This window comes from Homo sapiens, chromosome 7 (genome assembly GCF_000001405.40).
Source record: "Homo sapiens chromosome 7, GRCh38.p14 Primary Assembly".
Classification (NCBI taxonomy): Eukaryota; Metazoa; Chordata; class Mammalia; order Primates; family Hominidae; genus Homo; species Homo sapiens.
In genome coordinates, this window is record NC_000007.14 from 111,171,735 (window position 1) to 111,183,625 (window position 11,891).

At 34.0% G+C, this 11,891-nt stretch overlaps 1 protein-coding gene and 1 long non-coding RNA gene across 26 annotated transcripts in view; both read right to left on the reverse strand.

Moving 5' to 3' along the window:
* IMMP2L (inner mitochondrial membrane peptidase subunit 2) overlaps positions 1-11,891 on the reverse strand; it is an 899,849-nt gene that overhangs the window by 509,091 nt on the left and 378,867 nt on the right. The window lies entirely within an intron of this gene.
* The window catches only part of LOC124901725 (uncharacterized), a 71,230-nt gene continuing 59,937 nt past the window's right edge, over positions 599-11,891 (reverse strand). The window contains exon 2 of the long non-coding RNA XR_007060477.1: positions 599-10,799. This is a non-coding gene — a long non-coding RNA (uncharacterized LOC124901725). The remainder of the gene's footprint in view (positions 10,800-11,891) is intronic.

Below are 11,891 nucleotides of genomic sequence, written 5' to 3' on the forward strand. Positions count from 1 at the left end.
GAAGGAATGTGAAGAATGTTTCTTTTAAATTATTACTCTGCTGCTTAAAAAAATGCAGGTAGCTTACACTAAAAGCAGATAGAACTGTAACTATCTACATATATGTAATATAAGTAGATGTATAATAGGTAAAAAAAGATAAAATAAAGAATTAAAAATGCAGGGGCTAAGTAATAAGATGTGGTTAGGGGTGAAGAAAGGAATAACTTGAAAAAAGAATGAGTGGAATATTATGGGTTTGATGAAATATAGGGCACAGGCATTTGGTAATTTATTCTCTGATTTAACAGAAAACAGCATTAATCTCAATCAAAAAAGTAGTATATGCCCAGAAGAATTTCTTCAATATTGTGAATCTATGTATAGTCAAGACTACATTGTGAAGATAAATAAATCACATTTGTCAGTTGCTAAACCTGTTTGCTAAATGGTATAAAATATAAGGGACTTTCATAATATAAATATGCAGTACAGTGCTGGTTCCTAAGCAGACTGCACTCAACATTGAGTGCTTTCGAGACATAAGAAAGGAAACTTAGGAGCTTTATTTATTACTGATATTATATTCATTATTAAATTTAAAGACTGGAACACTCTATGATTTCTTCTTTGCTTTTATTATTATTTTAATTGATACATAATAATTATATACATTCATGGAGTACAATGTTACATTTTCATACATGTATACAACGTGTAATGATCAAACAGGGTATTCAGCTATCTATCACCTCAAACATTTACCATTTCTTTGTGTTGAGAACATTCAAAATCTGCTTTTCTAGCTATTTTAAAATATATAATACATTGCTGCTAATTATAGTCACCCTATCGTGCTAGGGAACACTAGAACTTATTCCTCCTATCTAGCTGTACATTTAAATCCATTAACCAGCCTTTGGCTATCTCCTTCTTCCCCTTTCCTTCCCCTCCTCAAGTAACCACTATTCTACTCTCTATTTCTATGAGATCAACTTTTAAGCTTTCCCATATGAGTGAGAACAGGCAGTGTTTATCCTTCTGTGCCTGGTTTATGTCATTTAACCTAATGTGTTGCAAGCTCATGTGGAGTTTTATATGTCATATTATAAAAGCATTATTAAAAGGCAACCTACCATTAAATTAATTAAAATCAACTTGAAATTGGCAAAATGGCAGAGAACTCATGGTATAATGGTGGAAAAACCACTGTGCCGATAATCTATGTAATAGAACTACTATTTTCTGTATGGCAAAGAGAGAACTGTAACCTGCTGAGGGACTGCTATTGCACCACATGCTATAGACAAATGAACAATACATGAAGTCAGTAAGAATTCCAGCAAAGAATAACTGAGAGTTTAGGTCATAAAAAGCCCCAGGAGATTCTAATTTCCTAGAAGTAGGGCTTTTTCTCAAACATTAATATTACTACTGAAGTGTTGCAGTCATTGGAAGATTTTTAATAACTTGAATTTTCTTTTTCAAAATTTAACATTATTAGATGATGACATCTAAAACCTCAGACTCTCTTTAGATGAAATAAAATTATTATTCTATTTTTCTGATAAATTAATTTCCTAAAAAGTGATTTCTTTAAAAAATCATTGCTAAAACAACTTTCTACCTGAAAAAAATTAATTAACAATACACAATTTTAATCACCTGAATCACTGAATCACTTGTGCACACTTGGCCTCTCACACCCGTTCTGTGAGCTACTTAGTAAACTTTCTAAAGATGCTGAGAACGTTAAGTTAGTGTCTACCCAATAAAGGAGAAACACTGTTATGAGAGTGTATGAATTTTATACATTGCCTGAATCTACTGGTTACAACCACAGTGGTTTGGAGGCTATACACTCGTTCTTTTTCTCAAGTTTGGTAAACAGTTAACTATAATTTGTATGTCCAGACTCAAAGAACAACAGTGAATGCATTTCTGGAGTAACAGTGTCATTTCCAATCCCTAGTAAAACAGCAGATATAATCTTCCTCCTGGGGTGTTTCTTATATTATCAGAAAAACACACTAGGGCTAATAACAGTCCTGTAAATGAAAACTAATCAGTCACAGGACATATCCAGAAAATGTAGATAAAATATGAGGAAAGAAGCTTACCATCATTGTAACATTTAAGAAAATCACAAGCAAATATCTGTCGTTCACTGTTCTGTTCTAAAATTTCAAACTGTTGTTCTAAAAGTATCTACAGTGAAGTTAAATATATTAACAATGCTTACTGAGTTTCTCTTTCAAAGGATTGTCAACATCAACCCTTCTCATAAATGTGAGCCTCCTCATGGGCATCTATTTGTATGGAATAGCATACTTCAATTTTCACTACCTGCCCCATATCATAAAGAAAAATTATACACATACACATACTCATATAAGAATATTTTTTAAAACCGTGGGACCCTGGTCTCAGTTTCACTAGAATAATACTACAATCATCAGTGAACTGGCTATAACCACAGAGACTTTTACTATTTCACAACTGAACAACTCTAAAAGTTTCAGTCCTTTAACATAGTTAATCTCAATGCATACTTACAAATGAGACAGGCAAGGCAGGTAATACAAATCAGAAAGCTGAGGCAGATAGAGGTTTAATAACTTCCTACAGCTGGCGAGTGTCAAAACCTAGTCTTCTGACTCCTAATTCAATGCATATTACCATACATACACACAGGCATATTTACACGCCTTCTGCCTAGAGCCACAGTCTATATTTTTATTGTATGTTTTATATTTTCAGCTCCTACCTCACTCAATGCAAAAAAAATATTACCGAATTTCAAGGTTCAGAGTGGTTACGGGAAATATACAGCCTAAATCTTCTGGCCCTTGTTTGCTTATTCTTAAATTTCATGATTACATTCTCCCTGCTTCAAAAAATTCTATTACCGTATGAAAAACTATTCACCAGCCTTCTATTGACTCTAGTAAAACAATTATTGAAAAAAGGAACAGAGTCCCATAAAGCATGTGCATGGAAACAAATATAATCCCTTCTTGGCACAGATGCACAAACTCAAATTGCTGAGAAAGAATCTGAAAGATATTCTGAAATCAATACTTGTGCAGTAAATGGTCGAAGAAAAACATGCAAGGCAGAAGAGATATACATATAACACTCAGCATTAAAAGAATTCCTTTAAGTGGGCTAGATTTTCCAATAAAGAATATAAAGCCAATAAATCAAACATAAATAAGTCCCTGATGGAATACTAGGCTTACAATATGCACTTAATAATTTCTTAGTACCATTAAAAACCTTTACATTTTATGAAAGCACATACTGAACTCTATTAAACTGAAAATGATTTCTTTTGAAATATATCAGAAATTAAGTGGAAAATCAGAAAAAACTGCTGTTTTCAGAGTCCTCGTTGCATTATGTATTCCGGCTTTATGCAAGAAGATTAGGATTAATTACACAGCATCCTAATTACTGTCTTTCTTCCATTTCTGACTCATTTAGAATGTGGGCAAGCAGATGGCCAAGGAAAAGGTCTTACAATAACAGGCAGCGTTTTCCCCATCTTAGCTTAGCCACATTCAAGAAGAAAACACAAGTACCTCCATCATTCCTAACTATAAACTATAAGCTCACTGAAGTTCAATGAGACTGTCTATTCTTTTAATTTCTAAGTAATACAATATGTACACTTTTTAGTAATAATGTAATATGGGGGGTAGGAGAGATATAAATACAGTCCATTGTAGGTTTGTTATGAAGAGAAATCTATGTTTATGCAAAAATACATATTCCATTAGAAATAACAGGATTCACAAGATCAGAAATTATTTCAAGAAATATAAATTTTATCTACAATGTGGAGGTTTTTTTTTAAATAGTAGAAGAAGGAAACCAGGCCCCTATTTCTCACCATGTACAAAAATCAAATCAAAATGGATTAAAGACTTAAATCTAAGACCTCAATCTATGAAATTATTCCAAGAAAACATTGGGGAAACTCTCCAGGACATAGGAATGGGCAAAGATTTCTAGAGTAATACCCTACAATGGCAGAAAACCCATGCAAAAATGGACAAATGGGGTCACATCAAGTTAGAAGGTTCCTGCACAGCAAAGAAAACAATCAACAAAGTGAACAGACATCCCACAGGATGGGAGAAAATATTTGCTAAGTGTCCACCTGAGAAGGGATTAATAATAAGAATATATAAGGTGATCAAAAATAGGAAAAAATCCAATAATCTGATTAAAAATGGGCAAAAGATCTGAATAGATATTTCTCAAAAGAAGACATACAAATGGCATACAGGTAGATGAAAAGGTGCTCAACATCACTGATCAACAGAGAAATGCAAAGCGAAACTACAATGAGATAACATCTCACTCCAGTTCAAATGACTTTATCTGAAAGACAGACAATAATGCTGGCAAAGATGTGAAGAAAAGGAAACCCTTGTGCACTGCTGGTGGGAATGTAAATTAGTAATGCCACTATGTAGAACAGTTTGAAGGCCCATCATAAAACTAAAAATAGAACTACCATATGATCCAGCACTCCCACACAAGGTATACACCCAAAAGAAATAAAATCAGTATTCAAAGAGGTATCTATCTGCACACCCATGTTTACTGCAACATTATTCACAATAATCAACATTTGGAAGCAACCTAGATTTCTATCAACAGAAGAATGAATAAAGAAAATGTGGTACATATACACAATGGAGTACTATTCGACTATAAAGATGAATTAGATCCTGTCATTTGCAACCACATGGATGAACCTGGAGGTCACTATGTTAAGTGAAATAAGCCAGGCACCAAAAGACAAATCTCATGTTTTCACTTATTTGTGGAAGCTAAAAAAATTAAAACAAATGAACTCATGGAGATAGAGAGAAGAATGATGGTTATCAGAGACTGGGAAGGGTAATGGAAGCTGTGAGTGTGAGGATGGTTAATGGATACAAAAATATAGTTTAATAGAATGAATAAAATCTAGTATTTGATAGCACAAAAGGGTAACTACCATCAACAATAATTAATTGTACATTTCAAAATAACTAAAAGAGTAAAAATCATTTAAACCCATTCGAACCATAAACAAAAAATAAATGGTGCACAGTGTGGACTCTCTTATTACCTATAGCTTCTCAATGATCTTCCAGGTATGAAATGCCATTTACTTAATCTAGTTTATTTTCTACATGTAGTATAAGAAAGAAAGGAAAATCTGTGTCCCTTAATACCTTTCTTTCTGCATAATTCTTTTCTTCCTGAATATACACTTCATTGGATGAATACCAGTCCTCAAGTTTACCAGTAAATGTTGATGAAAAAAAAGATAGGGAAAATGTGAAATCTTGAAAAAGTACTGCACAAAAATATTCTTAACAAAATGGTCAAAAAAAGTTTAAAATCAGCACAACAAACACTTGAGTAGATTAGTGAGTTTCACAATGCCCTGCTTTTATTTTTTCATTTTTGTTTTTATTTTTGAAGACTGGGTCTTGCTCTGTCATCGAGGCTAGAGTGCAGTGGTGCTATCGCAGTTCACTGCAGGCTTGACCTCCCAGGCTCAAGTGATCCTCCTACCTCATCCTCCTGGGTAGCTGAGACCAGAGATGCATACTACATGCCAGCTAATTTTTTAAATTTTTTCTGTAGAGATGGGGTCTTGCTATGTTGCTCAGGATTGTCTGGAACTGCTGGCCTCAAACAATCCTTCTGCCTCAGGCTCCAAAAGTGTTATGATTACAGGCATTAGCCATTGTGCCCGGGCTTCCCCACTTTTGAAAAATCGATTCCCTTTCCTTTGACCTTCTCTCTTATAATGATTAAACTTTGTCCTTTAAACATCTCCAAATTTAAAAACTGTATCAACTGGAATAATAGAATATAAAATCAAAGAATAGTCAGCTTTGATATTTACCTACATGTATAGATCTTTTAGTCCATGAAGCAACTAGAACCATTGTTATTAAGGCCCTAGAAGATAACACACAAGTTTAATTTACCAAGACAAGCCTTTGCCCTAAAATGTTCCCTTAGAGTTGGGTACATGTGACATTTCTTTTATTCACATATAGAAACATCAGATATGACAGGAAGATGGGGTTGGCAGCTTTATGTCACAAAGAGTGGGAACAGCTTACAAGGTACTTGTTGTCAGAGGGCAGGAAGTTAAATCCTGGCTTCCACATTCCCTGTGTGCCTTTTCCTGGGTATTCATTTTTTGTTTTATTATAAAAATGAGATTAACTTGATATTTGAAAAAAGAAAATATCAAATACCATGTGCTCAAATATGCTAATTACTTTTCACATTACTATTTCTTACTAGCTAGGGGACATATACATACTTTTAAGAACCAGCAAGCATTTTTCTACTGAATCACAGAACCAAATACAGGCGTACCTTGGAGATATTACAGATTTTGTTATAGATCACCACAATAAAATTAATACAGCAATAAAGCAAGTCATATAAATTTTTTGTTTTCCCAGTCCTTATAAAAGTTATGTTTACACTATACTGTACTTTATTAAATGTGTAATAGCATTATGTCTAACAAAGTATATAGCTTAATTTAAAAATACTCTGTTGCTAAAAAAATGCTAACAATCATCTGAGCGTTCGGCCAGTTGTAATCCTTTAGCTACTAGGGGGTCTTGCCTCTATGTTGATGGCTGCTGACTAATCACGGTGATGGATGCTGAAGGTTGGGGTAGCTGTAACAATTTTCTTAAGAAAACCATAAAGTCTGCCCTATTAATTAACTCTTCCTTTCATGAAAGATTTTTTTGCAGCACATGATGCTGTTTGATAGCATTTTACCCACAGTAGAACTTTTGAAATTGAAGTCAATCCTCTCAAACCCTGTCACTGCTTTATCAGCAAAGTTTATTAAATATTCTAAGTCCTTTGTTGTCACTTCAGCAGTGTTCACAGCAACTTCACTAGAAGATTCTATCTCAAGAAACCACTTTCTTTGCTTATCCATAAAAAGCAACTCCTCGTCTGTTAAGTTTTATCATGAGATTGTAGCAATTCAGTTCCATCTTCAAGTTTCACTTCTAATTCTAGTTCTCTTGCTATTTCTACCACACCTGTAGTTACTCTCTCCACTTATGTCTTGAACCCCTCAAAGTCATCCATGAGCATTGGAATCAAGTTCTTCCAAATTCCTGTTCATGTTGATATTTTGATCTGTTCTCATGCATCACAAATGTTCTTAATGGCATCTAGAATGGTGACTCCCTTCCAGGTTTTCAATTTACTTTTCCCAGAGCCATCGGCAGAATCATTATTTATGATAGCTAGAGCCTTACAAAATGTACTTCTTAAATAATAAGACTTGAAAGTCAAAATTCCTCTTTGATTCATGGTCTGCAAAATAAATGTTGTGTTAGCAGGCATGAAAATAACATTAATCTCTTTATACATCTCCTTCAGAGCTCTTAGATGACCATGTGCATTTTCAATGAGCAGTAATATTTTGAAAAAAAAAATTTTATCTGAGAAGTAGGTCTCAACAATGGGTTTAAAATATTTAGTAAACCATGCTATAAACCAAGCTTGTTCAACCTGCAGCCCACAGGCTGCATGCAGCCCAGGACAGCTTTGAATATGGCCAACACAAATTCATAAACTTTCTTAAAACATTATGAGATTTTTTTGCAATTTTTTTTTTAGCCTATCAGCTGTTGGTAGTGTTCGTGTTTGTTATGTGTGGCCCAAGACCATTCTTCTTTATCCAGTGTGGCCTAGGGAAACCAAAAGATTGGACACTTCTGCTATGAAGAGAAGTGCTGTCATCCAGACTCTGTTGTTCCCTTTACAGAGAACAAGTAGAACAGATTTAGCATCATTCTTAAGGGCCCTAGGATTTTTGGAATGGGCAACGAGCATTGGCTTCAACTTAAAGTCATCAGCTACATTCGCTCCTAACAAGAGAGTGAGCCTGTCCTTTGATGCTTTGAAGCCAGCATTGACTTCTCTCTAGCTATCAAAGTCCTACACGGCATCTTCTTCCAAAACAAGGCTGTTTCATCTATCTTGAAAATCAGTTGTTTAGTGAAGCCACCTTCATCAATTATTTTAGCTAAATCTTCTGGATAAATTGCTGTAACTTCTATGTCAATACTTGCTGCTTTACCTTACACTTTTATGTTACGAAAACAGCTTATTTCCTGAAGCTGTCAGGAATGAACTAACTTTTGCTAGCTTCCAACTTTTCTTCTGAAACTTCCTCACCTCTTTCGGGCTTCACAGAATTGAAGAGAGTTAGGGCTTTGCTGTGGATTAGGATTTGGCTTAAGAGAATGTTGGGGCTGGTTTGATCTATCCAGAACTCCCAAACTTTCTCCATATCAGCAATAAGACTGCTTTAGTTTGTTAGCATTTGTGTGTTCACCAGAGTAGCACTTTTAATTTCCTTCAAGAACTTATCCTTTGAATTTACAACTTCACTAACTGGTACAAGAGGCCTAGCTTATGAACTATCTCAATTTTTTACATGCTTTCCTCACTAAAATTAATCATTTCTAGATTTTCACTTAAAGTGAGAGACTCATAACTCGTTCTTTCTCTTGGACACTTAGAGGCCATTGTAGGGTCATTAGTTGGCCTAATTTCAATATTGTTGTGTCTCAGCAAATAAGGAGGCCTGAGGAGAGGAAAAGAGATCCGGAACCTGCCAGTCAGTGGAGTAGTCAGAACCACACATTTGTCAATTCAACTTGCCATCTTACATGGGTGAGGTTTGTGGTGCCCTGAAACAGTTACAACAGTAACAGCAAAGATTACTAATCACAGATCACTACAACATATGTAACAAAAAGGAAAGTTTGAAACACTGCAAGAATTACCAAAATGTGACACAAAAACATGAAGTGGGCACATGCTGTTGGAAAACTGGTGATGACAGACTTACTCAATGCAGGGTTGCTACAAACCTAATGCATAATACAGTGAAGCACAATAAAATGACATAAGCCTACAATAAAATTGTGCTGAAATGACTGTACTTTCTAATTACTTTTCATGCATTCACACGTATATATTGACAAAGCCTATTTTTAAAATTCATTTTGGCTGTTTATGGAATATGTGTTTCATTTTATAAATTGAGAAAAAATTTGACAGACTGTATATTAGGTTTCTATGCTGTTTCCTGGATACAAAAATATGATTCCTTAAAGTAAATCTAGCAATATTAAAATAACATACATTACAGTGTTTACTTGATTCTATTGGAACAAGGAAAATGATATTAATTTTTATAACCACCGAATATTATACCATATTTCTATACTTTTACTATACCATTATTACTATGTTATTTTACCATTATTACATTATTATCACAATACATAGGCCTATTTAAATATAATTAGGAGTCTACATTACCTGATGTTCTTATTACTATATTGTTTTTGTTGCCACTAGGCAACTTGCACATATGTTTAGGAGCCACTTAATATGAAAGATTTAACATCACTGAGCCTAATTTCCTCTGCTGTGTGGTTGGCTGGAGAATAAATATAGCAATATCTTCATGTGACTTTCTAAAATAAGAATGGATAATATTTCCCCAAACACATAACATGAAACACGCTTCTAATGAATAATCCTATATCTGCATTTTACTTATCACTATTCTGCTATTTTCTTATTTGTTTGTTTAATAGAATGTAAGTAATGTCCATGAATAGGGATCTTCCCTGTCTTGTTCATTATTACCATGTTCTAAATAATGTCAGATGAATCATAATTTAACAAATGGGTAAATCCTGTATTTGAGCACCCAGCTTGATGGAGAAGCTCTGGCCCCACATATATAGCTACTAGTTGGAAGCACAGCAATGAATATAAACTCAAATGACCAATAAGAGGAATAAATGAAGGTTCTCTTGCCCTAAAATACAAAAACTTGAACTTTCCAATTTTGGAAGCAGATACTAAGATAAATGTGCAGGTTTTATATAAACCTAAACAAATGACCAGCATCATTTAATCTAGTTTTATGCCACAAACAATAACAAAAAGTTGACCGTAACTATTTTCAACGGCATGATAAAAGCTAACACAATAATAAAGTATACTAAGGGTTTCTTACCATTGTTTCCACATTTCTGCTTACTTCTTACGGCTAAAATAAATAGCTATAAATTTTGTAGCTAGCTCATCTGTCAGTTTAGATATGCTCAAACCTTGCTTACATATAGAACAAGTGTTGAATAAAATTATTGGGCTTCAAAAGTTTTAAGAATAAACATTTCAATATATGCAGCCATTTCTTACTTTAATAAAAAGAATTAAGCATAAAAAGAAATAAAAAACATAAAAAGAGGTTTTAAAATGATCTTTCCTAAGTGTCAGAAGAGGGAATAAGTCCATGGAATTGATACATAAAATGAAGACTCTTACTCTTTTTCTTCCTAGTGCCATTCTTAGTATAATCAAATCTATCTAACTGTCCATCACTTTAACATCATCAGGACTCAATGGCTCAGTATGCTCAGTGGAACTCTGGAACAGGATTCCCACTTACCCGGCTAATAATAATGCTAATGAAACTAAATCCATAGCTTGTTTTCTAGTTTCTATTACCTTCAGGTATTTACCACTTCTTTGGTCCTATGAAAACTAAGAAGAGCAGAAGCTGTCCCAAGGTCTCAAAAGAATTTGGTTGTAGAGGAGCCAGGTTGCCTCAGAGCCCAGTCCCCGAAAACTCCATGATGCATTCCACTCAAAAGAATCCTCAGACCTTGGAAATCTCAAGAAAGCACTCAGCTTGGGGTCAAGATAGAGTTTCTCAGTTTATTTATCAACTGAAAATGACAAAAAGGAAGACAATAAGATTGAAAAATGAGAATTAGAAAAGAGAGTACAAAGTACCCACCGAAATTTTTTTCAAGTGGTATTAAAAAAATAAAGAAAGTCAATCACGTTTCTCAGAGAAAATACCTCTGAGGTGGAGGTAAGAATGTGATGTGAAATCTAAGGGAGTCATGATTTCAAGAATGAATTTAGTTGCAAATAAGAAAAAAATCTGATCCTACAGATATATGGCACAATGTAAGCAGAGACACGCAAAAGAAAACAAGAGAACTCAGGCTAGTTTCTAAATAGTTTGGGTTCTCTCAAGTGCTTATGTAAATTGAAATTTGGAAGACAGCGATTCACTAATCAAATCAACCCTTAATTTGTACTATCATTGGAATGCTAAATCTTACAGACATAGACTGGCAGTTTTCTCTTAAATTGGTGCCTTGCTAGATTGCATAAGCTTTTATATTCATGATCATTTTTAAAGTTTAAGTATTATTTATATAAAGTGGTTAAGACATATTAACTATTTACAAATGTATCTTAAATGTTTATTTTGTGATTGTGTCTAAACCAAAAAATGAAGAAAGGCCATTATGTTCTGCTTAACCCCATGATGCCTGCAAACTGAAGATGTGATATTTCAAATAAGTAAGTAATAATGCATAAACATTGTGTTTTTATGAAATGCATGTTAAAATTATGTCGATAAAATATCTCTATGCTGAAACGGAAGTAAACCATTTTGATGTATGCTAATGTAAGCCTTTATAAGGGATATTAGTCATATATTCAACTGTAGTTCTGATTACAAAACAAAAATATGCTGGAAATTCCATAAAGATCAAACTAATTAAGGTACTTAATTGCCTCTGACTAATTATGGAAATTGGCAAGCTCAGTAAGGAAACAAGCTTTTTAAAAGAGTTTATATTTTAGGCCATAGCTTTCTTGGCTTCATTTTACTGGGAGCCACTTGTATCATTTCAGATCTTACACTGCAAGCTCTGTCCACAGAGAGTTATAAAGGGAAATGACTGCATATGTATCCAGAGCTTAACTGGGACAAGGAGAAGCTACACTCTCAGACTTAC